Source organism: Homo sapiens, chromosome 1, assembly GCF_000001405.40.
Source record: "Homo sapiens chromosome 1, GRCh38.p14 Primary Assembly".
In the NCBI taxonomy this organism is placed as follows: Eukaryota; Metazoa; Chordata; class Mammalia; order Primates; family Hominidae; genus Homo; species Homo sapiens.
The window spans coordinates 232956548-232984490 of NC_000001.11; the positions used below are offsets into that span (position 1 = coordinate 232956548).

The 27943-nt window shown below is 42.8% G+C and overlaps 2 protein-coding genes across 13 annotated transcripts in view, besides 1 other annotated feature; one reads left to right on the forward strand and one right to left on the reverse strand.

Moving 5' to 3' along the window:
- NTPCR (nucleoside-triphosphatase, cancer-related) overlaps positions 1-27335 on the forward strand; it is a 33272-nt gene extending 5937 nt beyond the window's left edge. For 5 of the 8 annotated variants that reach the window (NR_138024.2, NR_138026.2, NR_138025.2 and 2 more), the window contains 2 exons: positions 13362-13571; positions 21616-27335. Coding sequence is in view for 3 of the 8 variants with exons in the window: in NM_032324.3 (NP_115700.1) it covers positions 13362-13571; positions 21616-21684 (279 nt within the window). In the remaining 5 variants the exon portion in view is untranslated. The remainder of the gene's footprint in view (positions 1-13361; positions 13572-21615) is intronic. The other 3 variants (NR_138028.2, NM_001329452.2, NM_001329453.2) reach the window with 1 other exon arrangement.
- Positions 21207-22406: an enhancer, noted in NCBI's record as "BRD4-independent group 4 enhancer chr1:233113500-233114699 (GRCh37/hg19 assembly coordinates)". NCBI's record gives its function as "activates an origin of replication core promoter dependent on BRD2, P300/CBP, MED14 and CDK7 cofactors, and independent of BRD4, by STARR-seq in HCT116 cells {active_cell/tissue: HCT116}" and the evidence as "EXISTENCE:reporter gene assay evidence [ECO:0000049][PMID:35650434]".
- Positions 26888-27943, reverse strand: part of PCNX2 (pecanex 2) — a 343895-nt gene continuing 342839 nt past the window's right edge. For all 5 annotated transcript variants that reach the window (XM_047430870.1, NM_014801.4, XM_047430871.1 and 2 more), the window contains one exon: positions 26888-27930. In XM_047430870.1, coding sequence (XP_047286826.1) covers positions 27757-27930 — 174 coding nt within the window. In that variant the 3' untranslated portion in view covers positions 26888-27756. The remainder of the gene's footprint in view (positions 27931-27943) is intronic.

Sequence of the window (27943 nt, forward strand, 5' to 3'; positions counted from 1 at the left end):
TGCATTTTACAATTGAAAAGATTGAGTCTTAATAAGGATAAACAACATAATTTGCTATCACTCTGAGCTACAGATAAATTCCTATAAATTCAGTACATATAAATATTTTATTTTGGAAAGGCTCTTGATGCCCAGGTACCAACATTCCCAAAGATAAGTCTTTCCTCTGTCTTCTCACAGTCATGTCTTAACCTGGTTTCACAGCACAACAAACATTTAGGAAGAGAAAATGTCATTATATGAACATAATAGCCAGTTGTTATTGAATGCCTACCAAGTACTGTAAGCAGTTAACGTATTATATTATTATATTACCTTTTTTAAAAAAGAAAAAAACTTTATTGACATCTTACGGCTTCTTTCTTTCTACTTTGAATGCCTTTTATTTCATTTGCTTGCCTAATTACCCTGGCTAGAACCTCCAGTCCAACATTGAATAAAAGTGGTGAGAGTAGACATCCTTATCTTATTCCTAATCTTAGAAAGAAAGTATTTAGTCTTTCACCATTATGTATGATGTTAACTGTGTCTTATTTGTATAGAGTTTACTCAGGCGTATTTTGTTGAGGATTTCTGCATCTTTATTCACAAAAGATATGGTCTGTAGCTTTCTTTTCTTGGGATATTGTTGTTTAGTTTTGGTATCAGGTTAATACTGGTCTAATAGAGTTAGGAAGTGTTTCCTTCTTTTCTAATTTTTGGAAGAGTTTGTGAATGATTCGTATTAATTTTTCTTTGAATAATTGATAGAATTCACTAGAGAAGCCATGTGGGCTAGGTTTTTCTTGGTGAGAAGCTTTTAAATTACCAATTAAATCTCTCCTTATAGGTCTGTTGATTTTGTATTTTTTTGTTGAATCAGTTGTGGTAATTTGTACCTTTTAGTAATTTGTCCATTTCATCTGAAGTATCTAAGTTATTGGCATATAGTTGTTCATAGATTCACCCATAATGCTTTTTATTTTGTAAGATTGGTGATATTGTCACTTCTTTCTTTATTTTAGTTATTTAAATCTTCTCTTTTTTCCTTGGTCAGTCTAAAAGTTTGTCAATTTAGATGATCTTTTCAAAGAACCAGCTTTTGTTTTATTGATTATGTAGTTTTATGTATCTATTTATCAGATATTTATCAAGTACTGCATATACAGTCATGAACAAAACAGACATGTTTCTACTCTTTCAAAACTGTTAGTCTAGTGGGAAAGGTAGACACTAAGTAAATTTATACTTGTCATGGTCATTAATGCTGTGAAAGAAAAGAACAGGGTGCTATGAAAGGGAGGGACAGGAAGAACTGACTTTAGACCAAGGGACCAGGAAAGAGTTCTGGGAAGATGACATTTAAACAGAAAGGAACAGGTGAGAGGGCATTGGGGAGAGAGAGTTAGTATTGGGGTATTTGTATGTGTCAGGGTGGGGAGGTCTGGGGAGAATATTCTAAATGGCAGGAACAGATACATTCAGACCTCAGAGCCCTGGAGCAGGAGCAGGTGAAGAAGGTAAGTTTGGTGAGGTGGGGGGCCATGAGATGCAGGGCTCTGTGGACCATGTTAAGGAATGTGAGTGTCATTTAATCTATTACAGACTTACTACTTTGATTTGTGAAAATTAAATGATACAGACCTGTCTCAAAAACCAACTATAAACTATCCAGAGTTTTCTATGGCACCAAGAATAAAGTCCAAAGTCCTTCCAGTGGCCTAGAAGGCCCTGTAGCCCTGTGATATCTGGCCTTACTAACCTCTGACCTCATCTTGCCATTCTTCAGCCACACTGGTTCAATCAGACTTCCCACATATGCCAGGCTGAGGCCCTTGGCACTTGCCATTTTTTTTGGTGAGCACGCTGTCTTCATAGATCTTTGCCTCTCTGCTCCTTGACATTCAGAGCTCAGCTGAAGTATGTAGTGGTGGTTGCCCAAAGGCTGCTGAAGATTTTAGCTATAGCCTCTGAGGATATCCTCTAATCTCAGAGGGCTGGTGGTATCTTATGGTCTGTTTCAGCAGGGGGTTGTGCTTCTTGGAACCCACCAAGTTCTCCTTTTCTTCCTACGCTGTGTTTCCTCCTCCCACCTCCTTCTTCCCCAATTCCTTCCTCTTGGAACTTACCCTCAGTTCCTGTGCTGGGGACTCTCGTGGCCACTGTGTTTTGCGGGAGCAGAGAACATGGTACTTTTCTTTTTAGCTGTTTTCCCGTCACATACATTCCTCTCTACTTAAATGTTCAAAAGTCAAGTGAAATACTTCAAATGAAATTCCAAGTGAAGATTCTGGTTTTAGGAACTGACTGGGTCAATACAAAGAATTTTTTACTTACCCTGCTCAGACAGAGTAGACCAAATCCTGGGAGGAGAGTTTGCACAGGTGTTTAGTGTCTAGATGCAAGATTATATAAGAGATCATATGCTGACCAGATCAGAGCATAAATCTGTTTTTTAATTAAAAAATAAAGAAATACAGACTTCTCCCAACATTTTGTATTCTGATTGCCAAATGCAGACATGTACATTCCATGTAGAAAAAGTTCCTGGCAGGGGATTTGATATGATTTGGCTCTGTGTCCCCACCCAAATCTCATCTTGAATTGTAATCCCCATGTGTGGAGGGAGAGACCTGAAGGGAGGTGATTGGATCATGGGGGTGGTTTCCCCCATGCTGTTCTCCCGATAGTGAGGGAGTTCTCATGAGATCCAGTGGTTTCAAAAGTGGCAGTTTCCCCTGCACTCTCTCTCTCCCGCCGCCACGTGAAGAATATCCTTGCTTCCCTTCTGCCTTCCACCATGATTGTAAGTTTCCTGAGGCCTCCCCAACAATGCGGAACTGTGAGTCAATTACACCTCTTTTGTTTATAAATTATCCAGTCTCAGGTAGTTATAGCAGTGTGAAAATGGACTAATATAGGATTCTCACCCAGTCAGGGTCATGGATTTCTTTTCTGGAGCAGAAATTTTTCTCCCATCATACATATTTTATGGGAATGAAGAAAGGAGAAGGAACTAGTGTTTTGTCTTTATACTAAAGAAAAAAATGAAAAGAATATTAATTAAAATAATTAGGCAACAAAACTGGGGAGTATAAACACACCATTTTTGATACTGGCAATGAAAACAACCAAGTAAACTGGAAGTGTTAGAAACCCTTTATAAAGGGACACAGTATTAGTTCATAGTGCTGGGATCTATGAAAACACAAATTCCGATAATAAGAAATATCCATTGTGTGTAAGAAATTTCAATATGTATGAGTGAAAGATAGTTTGAGGGTTGTATGTATGTGTGTGTGTGTGTTTTAATACTACAAAAAAATAAGAAAAAAGTACTTCTCTAATTAGGCCAAGCAGGGCTATGCCTATTTGCAGGTGGGGAAGTAAGGATGTGGCTGGGACTGGTTGCAGCGGCTCATGTCTGTAACCCCAGCTCTTTGGGAGTCTGAGGTGAGTGGATAACTTCAGGCCAGGAGTTTGAGACCAGGCTGGCCAATATGGTGAAACCCAGTATCTACTAAAAACAAAAACAAAAATCAGCTGGGTATGGTGGCACATGCCCGTGTCCCAGGTACTCAGGAGGCTGAAGCAGGAGAATCGCTTGAACCCAGGAAGCAGAGGTGGCAGTGAGCTAAGATGGCACCATTGCATTCCAGCCTGGGTGACAGAGCAAGACTCCATCTCAAAAAAAAAAAAAAAAAAAAAAAAAGTGGCCGGGAGCTGAAGAGCAGCTCCAGGAGAGGCTCAGGAGGGCCAGGCACAACCCAGGTTCACCTTGCAAAACTGCTCTGGTTATGTTTCTTGTTTCTTTTTCTTTTCCTTTTTTTTTTTTGAGACAGAGTCTTGCTCTGTCAGCCAGGCTAGAGTGCAGTGGCGCCATCTCAGCTCACTGCAACTTCCACCTCCAGGGTTCAAGCGATTCTTGTGCCTCAGCCTCCCGAGTAGCTGGGATTACAGGTGCCTGCCACCGCACCTGGCTAATTTTTGTATTTTTAGTAGAGACGGGGTTTCACCATCATGGTCAGGCTGGTCTCGAACTCCTGACCTCGTGATCCACCCACCTTGGCCTCCCAAAGTGCTGGGATTACAGGCGTGAACCACTGTGCCTAGCCTGGTTACGTTTCTTTAGGCAGGAATGGAGCCTGAGCATCGTGGTCGCTCGTGAGAAATAAAGAAAAATAGAGTGTGTGTGGTAAGTGTTCTAGACTCAGGAAGGTTTTTGGAAAGCCTCTAGTAGGGTTGACTGTTAATTTTTTTCATTCCATGAGTTAACTCTTTCCTTATTTGTCAACATTTGTTATTTTCCTGAGTATTCAAGTTCTAGATATTCATGGTTAAAAAAATTATAAAAAATGTAAAATAAAAATAAAAAACACAATGTGAATAACTCATAATCTTATCACTAAGTTAGCCAATGTTAGCTTATTTTGTTTCTGCCCCTTTTGTATACCTGGTTTATTTATTCAGTCATTCAGGATCAGGGAAAATGTTATGTATAGTTTCATAGGCTTGGTGTGTTTCCCTTAATATGATTGAGGGACATGGGAATGGTCTCACAACATGCTAATCTTCAAAGCTGGGAGATTTTAGTGGTTTCATCCTATTTCATGGTATGAGTTTTCATCTTTGATTTAACTATTACTCCCTCAGTGTTGAGCATTCAGGTTCCGTATCACCATTGTAAGTAACCTTGCAACAAAGCACCCTTTATACATGAATCTTTTTCTCTAGCCATGATTGTTTCCCTGGGGAGGGTCTAAAAGGTGAAGTCTGAGATGGTGGGGTGTGAACCTTCAAGGTCTTGATGGTGCTGCGTTGACTTTGTGTCCCACTGCCAGGGTGTGAGTGTGCTTGTCTTGCTGCGCTGTGCCAGCCCTGAGCACTCTACTTATTTTCAACACACTGCTTTGTTTTGATTTGCATTTTTCAGTTACTAATGGGGTTAAATGTTTTTCAGTTGTTCATTAAGTTTTCCTTAATTTTAGTTGTTCATCCATTGCTCTTCCCATTTATTTTCTTTGGGCTTAAATAGATGTTTTATAAAGCAGATAGCCTTTTTATATTATTGATTCTGTTTTTCTCAGTTTAGCACTTCACTTTGGTGATTATTTTCCCTTCAAGGTAGAGAAAAGTCTGTCCCTATTCCAAATTTATATAAAATTTTACCTATATATTTCTTCTTCTGCATGCTTTTTTTAAACATTTATGTTTTCAATTCATTTGGATTATGTTGAGTGTAATATGCTATGAGATTCTCAGCTGATTTTCTTCCAGATATTTAGCCAGTTTACTAAAACTGTTTGTTAAATAACCCATTTCTAATTAGTTTTTTATGCTTAATTAATTATATTAAAACTATGTGTGCTTGTATGTATAGTGTTTCAGAGTTATCTGTTCTCTTCCATTGATCTGTTTGATCCTTGCATCAGTACCATAGTATTTTAATTACCATGGTAATCGTTTTTATTTTTCTTCTTCAAAAAATGGCCTTGTTCAGAAACTGTAGTAATGGTGGCACTTGTAATAGTAAACTATTATTGAGTGCGAACTACGTGCCAGGCATGAACTCACTTAATCCTCAGAACACTATCACTCTATTCCTATTTTACAGATGAGGAAACTGAGGCATAGAATGGAAAGTTACTTGCCCAGGGACACACTAATTGTGTAAGTGGTAGAGCTGGAGTGAACTATAGAATCAAGACTTTACTATCCATTAAAAAAAATGTCTTATATGGAGTGATTGGGACTATAGTTATTTTGACATAAAGGGTGTCTTAATTTTTCAGATAATCTTAATTCTCCACAGCCCAAAACATGTTTCTCTTTCTCCATCTGTTTCTTTAAAATTTTTATTGGTGAGGTTATTCATAGGGCTCTCCTATTTTCTGGTGCTACTGGAATTAGGATTGTTTTTTCTGTTTTCTAATGATCAAGGCTGATAAGATAATGCTGGCCTTTTTCATAATGGCCTTTTTGATAGCTACCCTCAATGCTTTATTAAAATTTGATGCAATGTAAGATGTAACATTTTATTGATTTTCAACATATCTCCTACTCACACAAAATGGAGACAATAGATTATAATGTTTTAAAGAACAAAGGACATCTACTCAAAGCCCTGTTTTCCAGGTGAACAGTGTCATTTTTTACAAAGATCTGTGAAAGGAAGAGTAAGCTAAAATCAGAACACCCAGGGAAAACCAACATAGTTTGAACCTTGTATTTTCCTGTTTTGATTAAAATAAGTCTTTAAAGTATATTTGTTTTTGAGAGCAGGATCTACTTTTGGTTCTGAAATAGGCTCTGCTTTGGAAAATCTTAGAAACTTCCTTTGAAGGTGAGAGGACTCCTGTCTAGGGAAAAGTATTTTGTTTTTGTTTTTTTAGACTCGACCTGGAAGTGTTCCTTAGGTCACTCTCAGGCCACTTGGCTTTAGAAAGAATGTAGAAAAACCAAGTTCTAGTCAGGATCCATTCTTGAAAGATTGACAAGCTCCTCAGCATTGCTAGAATTTCTGTCATTGCTGTTAGCAAATGTGGCATTTGATTCTTTGTTCTCTCTCAGCTTCTGTTTCTCTACCTCATGTATTACAAGTATGTAATGCAGGATCAGCCAGGGAAATTAAAAGCTATCTGGCGCAAACAGAAAATCAGTTTTTAAACTGTCAGTAAGGACATTCCTGCAGTGAATCAGCATAAGAAAATGAGGTGAAAATTCAGCATGAGGTTGACTCTGCAGTTCATTTTGCAAGATTTGTCATGGCAAATCTTCATAATTTCTATTGAGCAGAGACTGAGACTTTATTATTTCTGATTGTTGGCGAGATTCTGTGGATTTAGATGCTAAGCAGGCTTTTGCCCTGGGTTATGACACCTTCATGTCTTTCTTCTTGCAGTCCACTCTCAAGAAACACAGAAAAGTTGCATGCTCCTTAAGTCACACGTCCCTTAAGCTGGACTGGGGTTGAGTTTGTATAAACTGTTGCCGTTTTTCTTTTTCCCTCTCACTTTGTCCCATTTCCAGCATTTCCTTCTGTCTCGCCTCCCGTGCGTATCAGTCTAAAACCACACTCCATTAGGAGGAAGTTCATACGGGGTGAGTTGGTTGTTTTCTTGAGTCTGGTACTGAGAAAGTACATACGTGTGTGTTTTCTTTTTTTGACAATTTTTTTAACTTCATTTGGATAAAATTTTACTCTTAGAGAAAGTTATAAGTGTAAGAATAGTGCAAGAACACCTGTATACTCTCATTATCCAGAGTCACCTATGTTTATCATTTGCCTTGTTTGCTTATTCTCTCTCTCTGTGTGTGTGTGTGTGTGTGTGTGTGTGTGTGTTTGTGTGTGTGTATAAATATATAAGCTGGAAGGGGGTGACTATTTGAGAATACGTTGCAATCATCAAGGTACTTTACTCCTAAATGTTCAGTATATTTTTCCTAAAAATAAGGATATGCTTTTACATAATCAATACAGTTATCAACCTCTGTAAATCTTACATTGAAAAAATACTTTAATCTATCGTTAGTGTTCTAGTTTCATCAGTTGACAATATTCTTTGTAACATTTCTTTTCCTCCAGATGTTACACTTAGTTGTCACATCTCCATAGCCTCCGTTAATTTGGAACATTTCCACAGTCATTCTTTGTCTTCCAGGACATTGACATTTGTAAAGAATATAGTTCCAATTTAAAAGAACGTTCATCTTTTGGAGTTTTTCTGATGTTTCCTCATGACCAAATAAAGCTGGAATACTCCATAAGTCATAAGTGATGATGCATCCTTCTCGAGTATCTCATCTGGAGGTGTGTGATGTTTAGTGATATTAATTTTGATTACCTGATCAAGGACTTGTCCTATTTCTCCACTGTATAGTTACTATTTTTTTCTTTGACACTAATGAGCAGTGAGTGGGGAGATAGTGTGAGACCATGCACATCCTCCTCATCAGATTTCCCCTAGCCAATTCTAATTTTATCTAAACTTTATTAGATCATCTTAAGATAAAAATAATTTTCTCTTGAGGCCTTAATTGGCAAGCAGATTTAACTACTCTCTTTTGAAATTGTTTCTCTAGCAAGGTGAGCAGTAATTAACAAACATAAAATTACTATACATTGAAGCTGCACTAAAAAAAATGCCATAATGGTTAAGCTTTTTTCCACTCTAAGCTGTGCTTCTCTCTATTTGTATCCGGTTACCTCCCCATTAGAAAAGCCATCACCATTTTATTATAGGAAAAACAATCAGTTCTTTCTCCTCAGGCAGTTTCTAATGAAAACGGTATCAGGTATCAGAGATACTAAACATTTACCAAAAGCTTAAATATTGATGAAAATTTTTACTAAGCAAGTGAAATTTTTTTTAATTTGGTTTTTGTAAACACTGGCAGGAAGGTGGACATATCAGGATACCTGGTCATAACTCTTCCACCGTCTTCTCGGGGTGTGCTCCTGGTAGAGGAGAGAAGTCCTTTTACTTTATCATATCTGCCTACTGCAGTGGGCCATTCGCTATCCATACTTGATGAAATAATTTTGGTGATATTATTCTCAGACCCAAAATATGAGTTATTTTCGAGTAATTTAGAGCAATATGATTACTCCAAATAAATTGAGGTTTTGTGCCTATGCCTCCATAGATCCCTAAACACCAGAGTGCTATTCGTTCTTATTGGAGAGGAAAGCAGTTTCTTCGTGGTTAGGTCAGTTTCCTAGATGCTATTCTTTATTTCAGAATCAAAGTGTGGAGGCGTATTGCACACAGGGTGTGGAAGAGAGCTTTGAAGTCAGGTGATCTCTGGTTTGACTCCAGCTCTGTCACTGTGCTCTCAGTGAGTTTTGAGTAAATCCCTTAATGCCTAATTTCCTTTCCTCATCTGTGAAACAGATGCTGTTACCTGCTATGTGAAGTTGCTGGGAGGACTGAATGTAATGCTTGTAAAGTGCCTTGGCCCCTGGCTCCTAGGAGGTGCTCAGCAGAGCAATAGCAGTGATTATTTTCTTGAGAAGTTAATTGAGGTGGTGGATGGCAGTACCTTGAGAGGAGCCTCCCTTCACAATTTGGTTTGTGTTTGCCAGGGAGCTGGGGTCCGGAGTGGGATAGTAATCTGTCATGGAGTCCCAGGAGCCCAAATGTGCAGGCCAGTCCCAAGTGCTCAGAGCATGAGGAGGACGAGGAGTACTGGGCTCTCCGTCTCACTGGACTGACTGTCAGCCAGGAGGTGTTGTTTCAGTCCCAAGATAGCTTGGAAAACCCCATGGCTACCATTCAAGCGCTCTTCAGTCGGGTGACCATGTGGGTGAGCCCCTGTGAGTCCCGAGAGGCCATTTAGGACATCCAGGAAGAGCCTCAGAGCTAGTCTGTCTGTGTGCCGGGGTGAGGATCTCTGGCATGTCCGGGGGAGCAGCTTCTGCCCGGAGTATTCTTGACTGGGGAAGGGCCGGGTTACCAGGCGCCATCGGGCAGTCTAGACACCTTGTCCTGGCTATGCCCTGGAGACTCACAGTCCATATGCCACCAGACAGCAAAGGGATTATGAGACTTGAAGGCTTGGAATAAACACACATAAAATATGACCGGAGCCCTGCATTTTTAGCTAATAACTTCAGTGGGTGAGGAATTGTGGGCTGGCTCAGAGATGGCTGCTGTTAGCACCATTTGCCTTTCTGCTTCCCTAGAACTTGCTGCTGTTTGGCGAAGGGCTGCAGTTTTGCTGCCTAACTTCTGAGAGACACTCCTTATTCACTTTCATGACTTTCCATACTTGCTGTCCCAGGTGGGTAAGCTCAGGAGCTAGTCTGTGTGTCTGATATTAAAATAAAACAATCCAAACAGTCCTCCTAAAATTAACATTAATACCACTGGAAACATTTATTATGCAAATAATTCAGAATAAGGCAAAGACCACTTGGATTAGCTTGCTCTCAGTTTGATATTTTGGTTAAATGAAATTATTTTATATTTATATGTTCTTTGTATTTTTAAAAGTACATATAAAAATAAAGGACCCAAAAAAATCACACTATTTTCAGGTCTCTGATATAACTGGTACGAAGATATTTGTTGTTCTAATCTTTCTGGAAAGCAAACTAGGTGAGTGTAACCAAAGTTATAAAATTATTCGTAGCTTCTCTTATCCCTGGCTGGTCAATTTTAGGACTCTATCTAAGGAAATATCTTCTCTCCCGGAACAGGGAAACTAAAAGTGCGCTTCATGGCTGAACATTTATAATCAGCTGAAGTGGAAGCCTGTGAGGGGTGTGGCCAGGAAGGCTAGTGTGTTACATAGGACTGAGGTGTGGCACTAGGAAGCAATGCTGCCTGGGTTGTTCTCTGAGGAGAGGCTGTGAGGGGAGGAAAGGGTGCTCCCCAGTTGGTGTGTACACCCCAGATGGTGTGTACATCGTGATTCTGACCACGTGGCTGAGAGCCACCTACAGTTTTTACACACTCCTTACTCCAGCAGCTGTAGGTGGAGTTTCTCTGGGAGCTCATTAGGACTCTCCTCACACTGGGGGTTGGGGAGGGGTTCCTGACCATCTTCAAACCTGGGCCCCTATTGTTCTAAGTCTGTGTCTCTATCAATTTAGAACAATGTAAAGGGGGTGAATGTTTGTTTACTTACTTATTTCTTTGTTTCCCTCTAAAGTTGCTTGAATTTATATAGAAATAAAACCATGTTACACGTTATAGTGGTTCTTTTTTTAAGACCTTGAGTGTATGATCTTGTACTATTTAGAAAAGCAGGCTGAGTGTCTACATGCTTCAGAGTGGCTCAGCAGCTGACATCTTTCTCTCAACTGAATATGAATAACTTGCATTTTTAATTAAAAATCACAGATTTATTTTTGAGATTCCTGAAGTTCTTGGATTATAAAATTCCCCAATTCTGGACAGATTGAGGATTTTATGTAAGCTAAGGTTTTAAAATGAGGATTTCCAATTGGTAGAAAGTAATGTATACATGTGTGTCCAAATTCTTTTGTGCTGAAACTTAAATAAATGTTGATGAGCTTTCACTGGTGAATGTTCTAGAGGATTGCAGGAAGGCTGGTTGTTGAAGAGCCACACACTTTCTACCTGTACGTGTGTATTTACACATGGCCACGTGCATTTTACTACCCTCATGTATATAGTCAAATAAATACATGTGCATGTGTACACACATTCTTTCATATCACTTCTTGTCTGATTTGGCACCTTCCAAAACTCATTTTGAGGTGCCAGAATAAGTTTTATTTTGGCTTTTAGATGACAGCCTCCAGAGGAATGGCATCCACAATTACTCTTCGTCTCTGGGGGCAGCAAAATGTCCACAGCACTTGGGAACAGTCGGGTCAGTTGGAGTGGCATGCCCCCAGGAAGACAGAAACCTTCTTGTACAGTTGTCTGTTTTTATTATCATAGACAGGTGGTTGATAGCTGTTTTATTTCTCCCAAATATGGCTTTCGTTTTGGAGGAAAAACTTGGAATAAGTAGTGACTTACTTCATAGATGCTCTGCCCTTCTCCCCGACCCCACCAGTGGAGGGTGACATTGCTCCTTCAGCTCCCCACTTCTCAGCTCTGGGACATCGGTGAGTTCCCCAGGAAGGATGCGGACGAGGACAACCATGTACCTGCCCTAAGTGGGGAGACCAGGCGTGTGTACAGATAAACTTAATAGAGAGGCAAAAATGAAGCATGTCAGAAACACAGAAGTGCGGAGATTGTTCAGACCTCTCTTGGGTGATTACAGTGGACTCCTTATTGATCTTTTAGCTAATAAAATGAATGGAAAAATATTTCATAAGTGTACAATATGCAGTAGGAAAATAGAGTACTGTTTACTTAAAAGTCTGAAAAACACTGCTGTACTGCTTCCGTGCAATCACAACTGGGGTTTAGACACCCACTATCTTATCTTGTCTATTCCAAAAGGAGTCTAACATTTGTTTCTGACTCCACAGCCAGCAGTCTTTCTAGCACAACTTGTGATCCTCCCTGGATTAGACTCTTTCGGCTGTGGGAGAAGATTCCCACCTCTGTGTGTGCCTTCGAAGGCCTTTAGGATCTGGGCCCGCAGCCCCGTCTGTCACTGGCTGCCCCTGGTTGCCACTGATCCCTACCACCAGCCACACTGTACCATATGCTGCTTTGGCTTTTGGAATTTGAACAAAATCTAGCTTAACTCAGACATGCCCTCTAGGACTATATTGCTGTCATCATTTAAGGAATCAGAACTGTAGTGAAGAATACTTTGTAAATCAGCTTTACATACAGTTTTCAAAATAATCATGTATACAAACATATATAAGGTGTATTTGTCATTCACCATTCATTGAAGTGTTTATTACATGTTCTGTTTTGTCCCTCCCAGGGAAGAATCAACCAAAGTCCTGTCAGCCTTCCCCAGGAAGGCTTTCTATAGAGGACATGTGTGTTAGTTATATGTTGCTATGGAACAAGTTATCTCAAAATTTAGCAGCTTAAAACAACAAACACATTATTGTACACAGTATCTGAGGATCAGGAATCCAGGTACAGCTTAGCTGGGGTTCTGAGGTTGCAGTCAAGCTGTTGGCTGGGGCTGTGGTCATCTGAGGCTTGCCTGGGAGGGCCCTGCCTCTAAGCTTGCTCATGTGGTTGCTGGCAGGTTCATTTCCTCTTGGCTGTTGGCATGAGGCCTCAGTGCCTCACCACGTGGACCTCACCGTCAGCTGCCTGAGTATCCTCACAGCATAGCACTTCTCTTCCCCCAGAGTGAGTGATTCGAGAGAGGGGATCCAAGACAGAGATCAAGCTTTATATTTATATACAACCAGAAAATAAGTGGCACCCAAATACCTCAGGCTTAAAAAAAGTGAGACAGCAAGCATGGGAGCCTTTGTTGATAATAATGGCCTCTTTTTTCCATTTTGAGCCATATGAGATTCCCTACGTGCTGGGGGGGAGATAACTGCTCTAGGTAGATGTTTGTGTATTTCATGATCTGGTCCATAAGCGTTGTTGGAAAAAAGTGAAAATTAAAAGGAAACAAGTCTTGGCTAAAGGGGAAAAAAAAGTAAGTACAATTGCATCCTTTAGATCTCAGATTCTCTTTCTCATGACTTTATTCCAATTTATGTCCGTTACTTCCTTGAACATCCCACTGGTGACAGGCATAGCTGCCAGCTTCCAAGAGTCCTAATGATTCCCAGCTCCTGGGACTCACCCTTGTGCAGTCCCCTCCCACACAGTACCAGCGGTGGTCTGTGGGATGCTGTCACTTTTTGAAATCCAGTAAAAAGGTTTCTGTCTTTTTTACCTCATTGGTGAGTGATTGGGGAGTGGGACCCATGGGCCCTTTGATTAATGTGACTCTGATGTCCCAGTGAAAGTCTTTGTCATTCTCAGGCCGACTGCAGCAGTGGCCCAGGGCAAAGAGTGTGCGTCATCGATGAGATTGGGAAGATGGAGCTCTTCAGTCAGCTTTTCATTCAAGCTGTTCGTCAGACGCTGTCTACCCCAGGGACTATAATCCTTGGCACAATCCCAGTTCCTAAAGGAAAGCCACTGGCTCTTGTAGAAGAAATCAGAAACAGAAAGGATGTGAAGGTGTTTAATGTGAGTACAGCCAGTCCTCCATAATCAGTGGAAATGGAGCAGATGATCTAAAATAGCAGATGGCTCTAAAATATCTCTTTGGTTTTGAGTTAACATTTTTTCCCTTCCATGCTGAAATGTAGGTGAGTCTAATTTTCTAGAAATGTATAGAACTTAAATTATACCTCTACTTGATGAAAAAACAAACTCGCTTATGGGGGGGCCTCCTGACGGTCCCAGTTGTTCTGGCTGCTTTTTTCTTCCATCTCCTCACCAGACACTAGGACCTCTCTGGCATCAGAATTGCCTGAGCTAAGGTGCTTGTTCTAAGCTTATCTCTTCTCAGATTGAAAGGCGCCAGGTTGGGATACAGAGGCAAATATTTTTTGTTTTGTTTTAAAGATTTCCCTTTTAAAGCTGACCCACTTGTGCTTGTGGGGAGAAGAGGCTGTGGATGTGTTGGGAGACACAGCTTCCAGGTGCTGAAGAGCAGCACCGTCCAGTTGAACTTCCCAGTAGTGAGGGAAATGTGCTCTCTGCATTGCTCAGAACAGTAGCGACTAGCCACATCTCGCTATTTATGTTTAATAAATTTAATCATATTTAAATTGAATTATTTATTTAATCACATAAATAATCAAATTTAAATTGAATTAAACATTTGGATTCTCAGTCACACTGGCCACATCTGAGGTGCTCTGTGGTCTCGTGTGGCTGCTACATTCACTAGTGCATCTGTAGGATGTGCCACTCAGTGTGAGGCTTGCAGAATGGCAGCATGGGCATCACCTGGGAGTGGGCCTTGCCCTGGTCCAAGGAGTCAAACTCTGGGGGATGGCCCCATGATCTGTTCTGGCAAGTTCTCATGTGGTTTTTAGGTCCCCCGCACTTTGAGAAGCACTGCTGTAGACCACATGTGAGAGATGAGGGGCTAGGGCTTGTTGACCAGTGGCAGCGTCTGAGCCAGTCGGAAGGGACTCATGGCATTGCTGGCACTTTGTCTAAATTCTTGCCTTTCTTTCCCTGTTGTCCCTCTGTTTTCCTCTCAGTCAGATATTGCTTCTCCCCAACCCCTACCCTTAGTTTCTTTGAGTCAGTGGTAGCTGTGCTCTTGGCTGAGCTCTGCTCACACACCTCACTCCCCACCCCCAGTTTAAAAGCTCCCTGGCCCTGCAAGTGCCAAGTGAACAAGTCAGGCAGGCAGGGCCACTCCTATCAGGGGGAGTGGAGAGTGAGTACCCGTGAGCACCTTCCTCATGATCATTTTAATCACTGAGTGAAATGTCACCTTGGCCCACTGGCAGTATCCACATGTTGCCACCAAAGAATCCTGGAGTATCCACATGTTGCCACCAAGAATCCTGGAGTGTGGTGGTAAACAGCCATTAGGGTTAGACCAGCCAGACTTGGAAAAATGTATGCGCTTCTTTATTGATTTATTTATTCCTTCATTTGGTCAATAGTGATTGAGCACCTACTGTATGCTAGGTGTCATTCTAAGTCTTGGGATACTGTGGTGAACGAGACTGACCAAGGCGCTGCTTTCATGGAGCTTACATTCTAATGGAGGAGCTGAATACCAAAAATGTGAACAGATAAGTTAAGCAATTTCAGATACTGATAAAGGCAAAAATAAAGAAACCAGGCAATGTGGTAGTTGGGGGCAGGAGTAGCAAGGGCGATCAGGGAAGGTCTCTTCAAGGAGGTGACATTTGAGAGCCCTGAAAAGTCTGTGGGGTTCTTCAGAGTTTCATGTCGTCTTCTCTTATTTTACATTTTTGGTTGTGATTATAGAGTTTCCATGGAAATCAAGGCAATGAATAGTGAAAGATCATGAAAGAAAATTAGTTTTGAGGTCAGATAGCTTCTAGGCTGGAAGACCGGGAAATTGCTAGTGTTAGACTCCAGGGATTGGCTAGTTCCACAAACTAATCTAATCTAACAGTCCTAAGGAAGGATTGAAAGGAGCTGACTGTGATGCCCAGAAACAGACTTTGTGTCTTAGGATCATACCACATTTCTTCCGCTCTCTGAGACTCAAAATTATTCTCCAGGCAAGATAATCATTGCTTCTAATGATCTGTAAATAAAACAATTAGCTTTGAGTTAATTAAGTAAGAGATAGGGGCTGACATACCCTGTTTTTTTTTGTTGTTGTTGCTTTGGGGTTTGTGTGGTCCTTCTGTTTCAGTTTTATTTTATTTTTTATTTAACTTATTTTTTTGAGGGGGAGGGACAGAGTCTTGCTCTGTTGCCCAGAGTAATCTGTGCTGGGATTACAGGTGTGAGCCACTGTGCCTGGCCTTTTCCAGTTTTATAAATCAAGAACCTCATTTTCTTTTTTTCTGAGACAAGGTTAGTCTCTGTGGCCCATGCTGGAGTGCAGTGGCATGCTCTTGGCTCACTGCATCCTCTGCCTCCTAGGCTGAAGCCATCCTCCACCTCAGCCTCCCAAAAAGCTGGGACTACAGGCATGTGCCACCACACCTGACTCATTTGTGCATTTTTTGTAGAGATGGGGTTTCACCATGTTGCCCGGGGTTGATCTCGAATTGAAGAGCTGAAACAATCTGCCTGCCTCAGCCTCTCAAAGTGTTGGAATTATAGGCATGAGCCACTGTGCCTGGCCAAGAACCTCATTTTCTTTATCTGCAAACTTAGGTGTTGGATTAGATATATTTTTGGGTTCTTTCCATTGCTCACATGCAATAAAGTATCCGAATCCATTTTTGAGAGTGCCCTTCACATTCAGTACTTAGTCCATCGTTTAGGCACCTGTGAGGCATGATCTCTGCCCTCAAGAAAAACAGACCATGGGGCAATCAAAATCTAGGGGCAGGGAAGGGAGAGATCTATGTGAGCAGTGGTAGTGGAGAGGTGTCCAAAGGAAGGGGTTCTTGAGTTGGCTCTTGAAGGAGGAAATGGGAAAAAGAAGGGAGAACATTCCAGGTAAGAAAATGAGCTATGAAAAGGGGTCAGAGTCAGCGTCCCCTTGCTACCAGCTGAACATGCGTAGTGTGAAGATGAGACTGAGCCCGTGATATGGGGGAAATGTACCACACGAATTAGTAATATTATCTAGACTTATTCTTCACAATGTTGGGTGAACAGAGTACTTTCCAATGAATATGCATAGTGTGAAGATGAGACTGAGCTCATGATATGGGGGAAATATACCACACAAATTAGTAATATTATCTTGACTTATTCTTCATAACGTTGGGTGAACAGAGTACTTTCCAAAAACACCCGAGAACTCTTCCAGTTTTAGACAAGATAGAGTAGACACACTTGTGTTTATTTTTCCTGCTAAGGATGTTATTTATAATACAAGCATAAGAAGACCTGAAAAGTGAAGAGAAAAAGACAGACTGGCTAGGAACCTAAGGACCTAAGGAACAACACAACAGACACAACTGAAAATCATTTGTCATGCCAAGAATCAGGAATACCTAAACCTGAGTGAGGAAAGGCCATCAGCAGATCTCAACAGCAAGGTGACTCAGATAGTGGAATTATAGGGCAAGGATTTGAAAACAGCTATCATAAAAATGCTTCATAAAATTACAGATACACATGAAACAAATGAAAAATAGTCTCAGCAAGAACTGGAAAGTTTCAGCAAAAACCTAGAAGATAGAAGAATCAAATGAAAATTTTAGAACTATACAATAGCCAATAAAAAAGTCACTGAATGGGCTCATCAGCAGAATAGAGATGACAGGAGAAAGAATCAGTGAACTTGAAGGTAGAACAATAGAAATTACCTGACAAAGAGCAGACTTAAAAGAAAAAGTAATGAACAAAATGAACAGAGTTTCTGGGACCTGTGGGACTATAACAAAAGATGTGACATTCACATCATTGTAGTAACAGGAGATGAGTGTGGGGTTGAAAAAGTGTTTGAAGAAGTAATGGCTGCATTTTTGTCATATTTGGCAAAAGACATAAACCTACATTTTCAGTGAACCCCAAGAGGATAAACTCAAATTCATGCCAAGACATACCATAGTCAAACTTATGAAAATTAAAGTCTTGAAAGCAGTGAAAGGAAAGCAGCACCTTACCTATAGGGTAAAAACAATATGAGTGACAGCAGATTTCTCAGGAGAAACCATGAAGGCCAGAAGGAGGTGGTACATTTTCCAAGTGTTGAAACAACTGTCGACTCATAATTCTATAAGACATTCACAGATGAAGGAAAACTAAGAGAATTTGTCATAATAGAACTGCTCTAAAAGAATGGCCAAAGGAAGTTCTCTTATCAGAAAGGAAATGGTAAAAGGAGACCTGGAACATCAGGAAGGAAGAAAGAACAATGGGAAGAGTAAAACTCTGAGTGAGTGTAGTGGGCTTTTCTTCCTCTGTTGACTTTTGAAGAATTATGTTTGACAGTTGAGGCAAAACGATAACATTCTCTGATGTGTTAAAAAAAATAGCTGAAAAAAGAAAAGAAAGAACAGTACCTGAGAAGGAAAATAAAATCTCACTGATACAATCTTTGGCACCTCCTATTACCTAGTAAAGCATCAGTAGAAGAAATTGGTGATGGAGTATTTTTATTCATCTATTTGGTAAATATTGAGCACGCACTGTATGTCAGGTACTGTTCTATCCACTGGAGTTTTAGCAGTGAACAATAGAGAGGGAGAACCAGACATCATTTTATCAGTAACCCAGTCCTGCCATAACTCACTCCCTCCCACTATAATGGCATTAATCCATTCATGAGGGCTGCCCCCATGACCTAATCACCTCTTAAAGGTCCCACCTCTATTTGCATGGGGGTTAAGTTTCCAACACATGAAATGTGGGGGACACAGTCAAATCATAGCAGGTGACTTATGGGTTCTTCAATAATTTGTTTTTCAGAACTCTAAGAGGTTATTACCATTGTATCCCATTGAGTTTTATCCCATTGTATCCCAATGAGTGTGTCATTGATTGATTTTGCTGCCTTCTAGTTAATGTCATAACATTGAAAATGTTATCAACAACTTTAGTTCTTTTTCAAGCTGGCAGCTTCATAGTATGACTAAGCCTCTTGTTTAGACCTTGGGGTGCACATGTTCTTGGCAGCAGTGAGTGGATATTATCTGATCTTCCAGGCTGCTTGCATGCTACCTCACTGCCTTCTAACTTGTTTAATATGATCAGTGTCTGTATGCCCTGCTCAGTCTCCCCTTCCCGCTTCTTGATTGTTTAAATAAGAAGTTGAGGTGGTGATATCACAAATTTGTCTTCTCATCTGGTTGGCCTAGGTACGGCGAGAGACAGTACTTGACTCATCTGCTGGGCACAGATGCAGTACCAGATACTGGGTCCTGCTTATGTTCTGACTTTAACAACCCCAGACCTGAAAACATGGATGGAGCAGGCAGGGGAAGAAATGCCTCTTAGTATACAACTATGTGCAAGAAAGCAAAACAAAACCACATGCATTTCCTTGAAACTGTGGGAAGGGCCCCCAACATTCCTAATAAGCAAGGGATTGGATCTGGAGGTCACAGGATGAATGAGATGTGGCCTCTGACCCCATGGTGCTCACAGTCTTATCTTCACTGTGCCCAGGATAAATTCTTACCAAGGGCCCCCCTACAGCCACTGGGCAGGTGCAAGGGTTCAGGTTCACTCAGCTTCCTTTCTTTCTCTTAAGGCTCCAGTGCAGAAAAAAAGAATGGTTGGGATTACTTTCTTCTTTCTGCAGTCTTCTTTATTTCCTTTTCCTGCTCCCAGCTCCCAGTTCCCTCTTCTAATTAGCTTCTCAGGAAAGGCTTTCTGCAACCAAAATTCTGGCTGTTGAATAAAAAGTAGACTAGAATTTCACATAAGGCAAAGACTCCTGAGGTTGGCAGATGCTGTGATCCTTGTTCTTGCATTTGGGAGTGTGCTTTTCTCAACAGGGAATATCATAAGTGAATACTGCAGAGAGTTGCACATCAACATTTTATTGCATAATTTTCAGAAATAATCTTAGGGAAATCAAAGGGAGTATCAAAATATTAATATTGGAGTGTTTGCATTCTGCTCAATTTTCAAATTAATTTTTAATTTGTAATTGATATAATGTACATATTTATGGGGTACAGTGTGATGTTTCAGTGCATGTATACATTGTATAATGATCAAATCAGGGTAATTTCCATATCTGTCACTTTAAATTATCATTTTTGTGGTGATGACATTCAAAATCTTCTCTTCTAGCTATCTTGAAATATACACTACCTTGTTATTTACTCTGTAGTCACCGTACTGTGTCATAGAAGACCAGAGCAAATTCTCCAGCTGTGTATCACAGTCCACTCTCACAGAGCCTGGCTGGAGGCAGAAGCTACTGCAATCACTGCTGAACTCAGAGTGGAAGAAAAGGGCCCCTGTGGTGCCCACCTCTGTGTCGCCTCCTTTCTACCTCAGGTGGATTCCTTGAATGCAAACAACAGGAATGGACTTTGGCTAACTTAAGTGAAAACAGCATCAAAAAGCCTTATAGGCTTTGGAGCTGTCCCATGAAGCCAAAGGAAAAGCTGACTGTCCTCATTTCAAGTGGAGCCACAGCCGCCCAGGATTGACGCAGCCAGGACCAGTAGAAATGGGATCACAGGATTGACGCAGCCAGGACCGGTAGAAATGGGATCACGGGACTGACGCAGCCAGGACCAGTAGAAATGGGATCACGGGATTGACGCAGCCAGGACCAGTAGAAATGGGATCAGCTTCTGGCACTTGCTGCGTGAGCTCACTCCTCTTGGGGTGCAGATCTCAGTCACTCCTCTTGGGGTACAGATCTCAGAGAAGTTGCCAGGGCCTGGCTTGCCCACTTGTTGGCTGGGGGCAAGTTTCCTAGACCGTACAGTCTCCTAAAGACAACCAGAGCACTCTTCCAAGAAGGGTGAGCAGGTGCCAGGAACCAGAATTGACGAGGTCCGCTCTGCATCTCCTCTTCAGACATGTATTGGCACCTATTGTATGCCAGGCCCCCTCTTCAGATACAACCACCCTGAACCTCAGAAGGCTTCCACATGCACTCCCTGCTCTTACCGGGAACCTTGGCTCAGCCCCTTTTCCATGGTTCACCTGTCGAAATTACATCCAGGCTTAAGCACCCCTGGAAGCCTTTCCTGCCCCTGACCCCACACATGCCCCTGTTCCTGCCTGCCCCCCAGACTCCTTCATTGTCCTTGTTCATGCCTGTCCTGTCCTGGTCTGCGAGCTCCATGAGGTCAGGGTCCTTACCTGTGGTGCTTCTCTATGCGCATCTCTGTGCCTGGCTCCTGTTTGCCCTTCCACCCCATCAGCGTGTGTTGAGTGGATGGATATTATATGGGCCAAGTAGGAAGGCACTGTGATGGGAGCAGAGATGGCCCTTCCTTTACCCTGGGGCACTCGGGATGGTGTGGTAGTGAAAGAAAAATAAACAGATCATCGGGTAAAGCTCTGGTGAACTCTTTGTTGCTTTTGTTTGATTTTGTAATGGTGTAAGTGTTGGAGAACACACTGCAGTCAGGAGGCCTGAGTAACAGTCTGTACGGAGGCACCCTCACGTCTCTGGCTCTCCCACTTCTCCATGTTTCAAATGAGCACTTGATGTTTGTGGAGAGGCGGGTAGATGACTGAGCATCCCAGAATCCTGGGCGCTTCACTGCTGCTCTGCTGGGTGCCCTCCTGGGCCCCGCTGGCTCCCAGGCTCTCCTCCTCGCTTCACTCCAACAGTTGAGTTCCTTCCATTCAGGACAGGTCGTGCTCAGGGGTCCTGTGTGCCCATCATCCGTCCCGGTGTGCCTCGTCGGACTCACTTCACAGCTCTCCCCATGGTTGGCTGAAATCTGTCTGGGCTCCAAACCCACTTTGACTTTTTGAGCTGTCACTTGGCAGAAACTGATGCTGGGACTCGGTGATTCCTGTCCTGTTTCTGAGTGCTCCTGAAGAGCTGGGCCTCCTGCCTGGGTAACAAAACATACCTCACCCTCTCCCAGCCTTCCAGGCGTTTCTTTTAGAGAGTTACCTAGCACAAGATTGAAGAAGAGGAAAGGAGCTCTGAAGCCTGTTCTCTCACTTCTTCCCACAGGTCACCAAGGAAAACAGAAACCACCTTCTGCCAGATATCGTGACGTGCGTGCAGAGCAGCAGGAAGTGAAGACACGTGCATTCCTGCCTTCCGTGAAGGAGTGCCCAGTTCAAGAGGAGCCTGATGGAGCCCTGCCTGTCGAGGCTGTATGCCTATGGGGTTATGGAACCTTGTGGGCTTTTCTAGAGAAAACTCAACAGCTGTTTCCCATAAAATGTTTAAAAGATCAAATTAGCCTTAATGCTGGATTGTCTGTACAAGATTAACTATCCATTGTGGCTTATCTATGCTTAAAGATTTCTTGTTTATTTCCTCTTGCAGTCATGCACATGATTTGGGTAAACTGTGAGATGAGAAATGGTTTTCAGAGTATTAGATGGAATTCACCCCCGTTGAAGTTTATAAATGTGTTCAGGGGAAGCGGGAGGAAAGAGTTCACTGCCTAATCAGTTTTGCATGTCATGAAAATTAAATTCCTCTCCAGGTGCAGCTTCAGCCTCATGCAACTTAAAGTGATAACAGTTATTTGATTTTTTAAAAAATATTATTCCAAAAGAAAACCATTTTAGGTCATCTCCCCCAACTCTGTTTGCTTACTGCTTAATAAATATAAAAATAAATCTGATGGTTACAGACAGGAGGCATTGTGTGGGAGGAATACACAACCTTTGGAAGTGTTGATAGCATCTGATATTCAGCCGACCAGATGACAAGAGCTCAGGCCCACGGGTTTGCATAAGAGCACTGCTTTGCCTTAGTTTACTCGGGAGCAATTTTGAATCTTTCTATGCCTAGTTTCCCTTCCAGAAAAGCAGGAAGTGGCTGTCATCTCAGGAGTGATGTCACACCACAGAAGGAAACTGTCAACCACTCCACACAACTGTGGAGAGTGCCCAGTGCCAGGGGCTGGGCTTATCAGGAATAATGGTGTAGCAATGCGGAGTTCAGCCCATAACAGGGGTACTATAAAAATGAAGTAGGAAAGTAGAAGAGACCCCTGAAACCCCAGAACTGATAGAGGATAAAAACTTCCCTCCAAGTGGTAGATGGTACTGGAGTGATAAACAGTTCAGTGTTTTTAGGTCATTTTTGGTGAAGATCTATGAATTTCCAGGATTTTTTTTTAACAAATTAGCATTGGCTACAAACCCACTGGTATAAGCAGCAGTGTGCCTTCTCTCTAACTGTGGACAAGTCGGGCATGTGGCGGGTGAGGAGCCCTGGGCTGGGCACTGGGGCACAGTGAATGGGGCGGGAGGGGCTCACATCAAAACCAAAATGGCACGCAGCCCAGGTCTGGTTCCTCCATCAGTGTCTCTTTCCTCAGCGCTTTTCTTCCGAGGTAACTTTGTGAAGCTTGACTTGGACTTGCCTAGCCTTGGAGGGACCACAACAGGGAGGCCTAATAGATTATGAACTAAGCCCTCAAAAGGGCTACCTGCCCAGGAGGAGGAAGTGGGCATCTCCTTCCACAGTCCCTGCCTGGCGGGGCTGTTCAGGGAGACTGAGTTCCGAGCTCAGGATGTCTGGCAGGCTGGCTGTGACTTCCAGCCACCATCACCAGGACACCGGTGTGGGCTGCATGCCTCAGTGGGCCAGGAGAGGCACGGCCTCTGAGTTGGGTAGAGGCTTCCCACAAAGGCCTGGGAACCTGATCCTGGCCGTAAATCTGAAAGTACCACAGCCCTCAGGAGAACCAAGAGATAGGGAGGCAGGCTGGGGAAATGTCATCAATGTGCACCCAGGCGTGGTGGAGCTGGTCAGCCCCAGCTGGAGTGGGACCCCATCAAGATGGAGCCTTTCCTGGCACCTCCGGGAGGCCGTTTTGCGTTTCCGCCCTTCATGCATCTGAAACACCAAGGGCCATGTTCCTTCTGGTGCTTGTCCTTTTGAGCTTGGTGTTTCAGCCGTGTCTGTTTTGTAGACTTTGATTTTGTCTTAAATGAGAAAGAAAGCTGGTGAAGGTTATTTCAAAGTTAAATAGCTAGTCTGAGGGGCTTATCACTGAAGCCAGTTGTGCTTATGTGGGGTGGGAGTGTCACTGCCTACTTGAAAGTATGCACTTGTGTGGAACAGATTCAGGGTGGCCCCTAGCACTTGGGGCTGCGGGAGCTTCTGCACACTTTCCCTTTAACGGTAAAGAGACAAGCTTGGAGTGTTTAAGTGGTTCGTTCAGGAGCACAGTGATAGCGGTGACAAAGGAGATTTGAACCCACGTCTGCGTGGCTCCAAAGTTCACTCTTTCATCACTCCCTGCTGCGTCCTTCTTGAGGCTTTAGCATTTTTAGTGTGTTTTGTGCCCCCAGACCTCAGAGTTGACATTTAGCAGTGATAAACTGCTGTAAATCCAAAGAACGTTTAGTGTCTCTTGTGGTGAGGTCCTGAAATGATTGTTGTATTAGTCAAACAGAATGATCATGGAGCATGTATGGAGATGTCAGATGCAATCCCTGTATTGTAAGGCAATGACATTTAATGAAGGATAAGATGAATTCACAGATAACTAGAACTCAGGGCCAAACGCACACAGCCTGTAGCAACAGTGTCATGCTGAGATTTAAAGGAAGAAGAGGTGCCGTGGCAGAACTCCACGTGACCGTCCCCTCCCTGCACGCAGCCAGGATGAGAGGAGCAGAGCTGAGCGCCACCTCCCTGTCGGTGCCACGGCTGAGGTGAGGAGCTCTTGCCGGATGGTGGGGTGGGGGCAGCAGGGCAGATTGAAGTCAGGGATTCTCTTATACCTGAGTTTGGAATGCCTCCTATTCAAACAAAGCAAAATATCTAACAGATGGTTGGATATGAGTCTCAGGGAGGAATTCAATTTGAAAAGCACAGAATTAACATGTATTGCTTATATGAAGAATCTCAGCTAGAATAACAAGGTCGGATGGGAGGAATCAGGACTGATTTGAAGCACGATTTACTAAATCATTCTTTCCTTTTCCTCCTTAGCAGATCATACCGCCAGCTGCTTAACACGTAATAGTTTAATAAATTGTTTCTTCTTACCTCTCAGTGAGGGTAAGCACATGCAGGGAGATGGGTGAGTCTTTTAAATGGATAGTGTCATCTCTGATGATCAGCCTTGACAGGGAGAGATCCTAGTAAAGCTGCAAATTCAGGCACTCAGTTCCCAGCCCTCCAGTTATCAAGGGGGTGGGAACGCTGGTGGGCTGGAAAATGTGGAACAGACCTGCTCCTCTTCTTTTCCTGCCAATTACCGTATTCATAGAAGGTTGTGTCTGTGGATCACACCTGTGTGTGTGCTGATGGCGGATGCTTGTGTAGCATAGTGACTTGGGACAAAACAGCATGGTAGATGAGGCTGGAGACGGGTGGGCTAAGTAAACAGGCATTGCATTGCACATTTTGTGGGCAAAGAAGTTGAAGCATCGCATGATTTTAACAAATTACTTGCCAGATGATTTCAACACACTGCAAAATTTAGAATCAATAATGCCAAATTGGCCACATGATTTATATAAAACCAAGTGCTATGGTTTTAATATTATCTTTAGAGGAGAAACCATTTTGATCTGTGTCCAAATAACTCTTTTTTTTTTTTTTTTTTTTGAGACAGAGTCTCACTCTGTCGCTTGAGCTGGAGTGCAGTGGTGCTATCTCGGCTCACTGTAACCTCCGCCTCCTGGGTTCAAGCGATTCTCCTGCCTCAACCTCCTGAGTAGCTGGGATTACAGGCACCCGCCACCACGCCCAGCTAATTTTTTGTATTTTTAGTAGAGACGGGGTTTCACCATGTTGGCCAAGCTGGTCTCGAACTCCTGACCTCATGATTTGCCTGCCTCAGCCTACAAAAGTGCTGGGATTACAGGCGTGAGCCACCGTGCCCAGCCCCCAAATAACTCTTGAACTGGAAAATAACTCTTTAGCTATATACTGGCAGAATATTTGAACAACTCTAGCAAGAAATGTCAGTTTAGGGATGCCTCCTCTAAATGGGGGCTTAGAATATAACATTTTGCAGGAAGTCCTTTCTGATACATAGCTGACTAGATGAAGGACCAGATTAACAAGTTCATGAGTTGTAAATATAAAAGTTGTGTACCACGATAAAAAAGAAAAAGAAGTATGGCTGCACTGTTGATGGCTGGTCAAACAGCCCCCAAGAATCCTGGGGTGACTCCAATACTGCCACCTTTTCTCTGTGGGTGCAGTTGCCTGCGGATGTGTGTGCACATCTGTGCCTCGGTATGCACACTCGAGATGCCCGCTCTCATAGACGGTGCAGAGCGTCACTGCATTCCTATCTGATTAATGTGACCTTAGTGTTGTAGATACACTGTGTCACTTTCATCCTCCCTCCTCCCCACAAAAGATGCCACGAGAACTCGTGAACTGTGATAAGCAATGAACAGAATAACTGTTGAAGAAGCACCTCATGAACCTCCCCAGAGAAACGGGATGGAGGAGCACCCAGGGTGCTCTTGCTCTCTTGCCTGCGCTGCCATTTCCTTCCAGCCTGGGTTTCTAGCTCTTTGGGGAGATTCCCCGTTTTGTGGAATGCTTTCTGTGTTTCCTACTTCTGGATGCCTAAGGAGTGGCCAGTCATACTCCTGGCTGACCACTGCCAGGCACCGTGGTTTTCCTCACTGAACTCAAGGAGTCACCCTCCGTGGGGAGGCCACACTCACAGCTCCAGGCCTGCCATTTAGCCCTTGGGGCTTGGCTGTAAAGTTGCCCAAGAGGATTACAGGAGCTGCCAGCCAAGTTTAATTTGGCCACCTTAGAGAACTGCAGCAAGGCCCTATCAGCTTCCCATTAGACAAACAACTGCATTTAAATTAAATAAAGTTTGCACCTCTAGGGAGTGCTGACCTGAAAATAAGAACCTTCTGTCTGTGATTATAGAGTACACTTGCTTTTATTAATTGCTGATTCTTAGTTTACAAAAAAAAAAATTAGAAAAGCATTACCATTTACTTTCCAAGGGGCAAGAGATTCTCTACAATACCCTTCCCCCAACCCTCTCCTCAAATTTCCAAATCCTAAATACTTTGAAGAAATTTGTGTGACTGTTTAAAATTGAGTATTTCCTTCTAACTATTGTCTTTTGAAAAGGGATGGTTCACCAGGCCAGTGATACTCTATGGACTGCATTTTGGGACCTCTACCCCAGCAAGGATACAGGTTCCTGGGGTCTTGAAGATGGGAAAAGTTGTCTCAGAATTTACCCAAATGTCGTTCTCACCATAAAAGATATACTTGTAGAAATGAGAAGCTTCAGTATAACTCAAAACACTGGACGCAGCAATAACTATAAACATTTTAATTTCAAAAACAAAGGTGTGTGCGATGTTGTGTGCACAGTAAGGGTTGCGGGGCTTGGAGAACAAGCACGCGTCCCTGTGAAGCCCGCAGGGTGCTGGCGGCCCACCAATCGCCTGGACTACAGTGAGGAGCATTGTGTGACTCCGCGGTGGATTTCCATGCACCGAATGGACTCAGTTTCTAAACTCACATCCTAACGTATCCTGGCTTTTCACAGAATACTGGAGACATGACTGCATGCATGATCACGGTTCTTGTTGTGAAGCTGCCACCATGTTACGCTTAACAGCTGCATAAATATTATAAAGAAATAGGGTTTTCTTGACACTTAGATTTAACCTTAATGCATCTGCCCAGCTGATGGTATCAGACGTGCTGCTGTTCATTTCTTTTTCATGGTAACAGTAATGTATAAAGTGCCGATGATGTAACATGCAGTTGTCTTATTTTCATCAGGGCATTTGTTTCATGGCTCTGTTGAGTTGTTTTAAGTTAGTGAATGGCTTTTGAGATTTCAGATTCTGGAACATGTGTGGTGCTGTCCGCGGTGTGCCGCTCTGGGCAGCGCTGTGCCTGGCCAGGGAGGTGTGGTGTGGCTTCTTTGTTGCTTTTTTTTGTTTCCCCATCATGTGAGGTTTTTTTGTTGTTGTTGTTTGATTTTTTTTTTTTTTTTTTTTTTTTTTTCAAAAACCTGAGATCAGTTCTGTGTTCTGGAACAGCTCTCCTTTTCCACAGGAGGAGTCCCTCATGGATCGCGGTATTGGTTGGTTGTGGTGATTTGGGGAGCACGAGGGAGAGCAATGCAGGTGGGAGGTGTGGGGGAGCCAGCCTCCCCGCCCGGCCGCACGCCCGTCACTGCTCGTCTGACACACTTTGCTGCGAGGCCGTGTCGTCCAGGCCCATGTCCTCCTGGCTTGCTCTCCTGCAGACAACCCCGAGAGTGTCCGCCACAGCCTCAGCCAGACATCGGTCATGAAGCTGCCCCTGCTCGGTGGCATCAGGGGGCTCACATGGCTCGGAGAGGTGCTTCCAAAGAGAA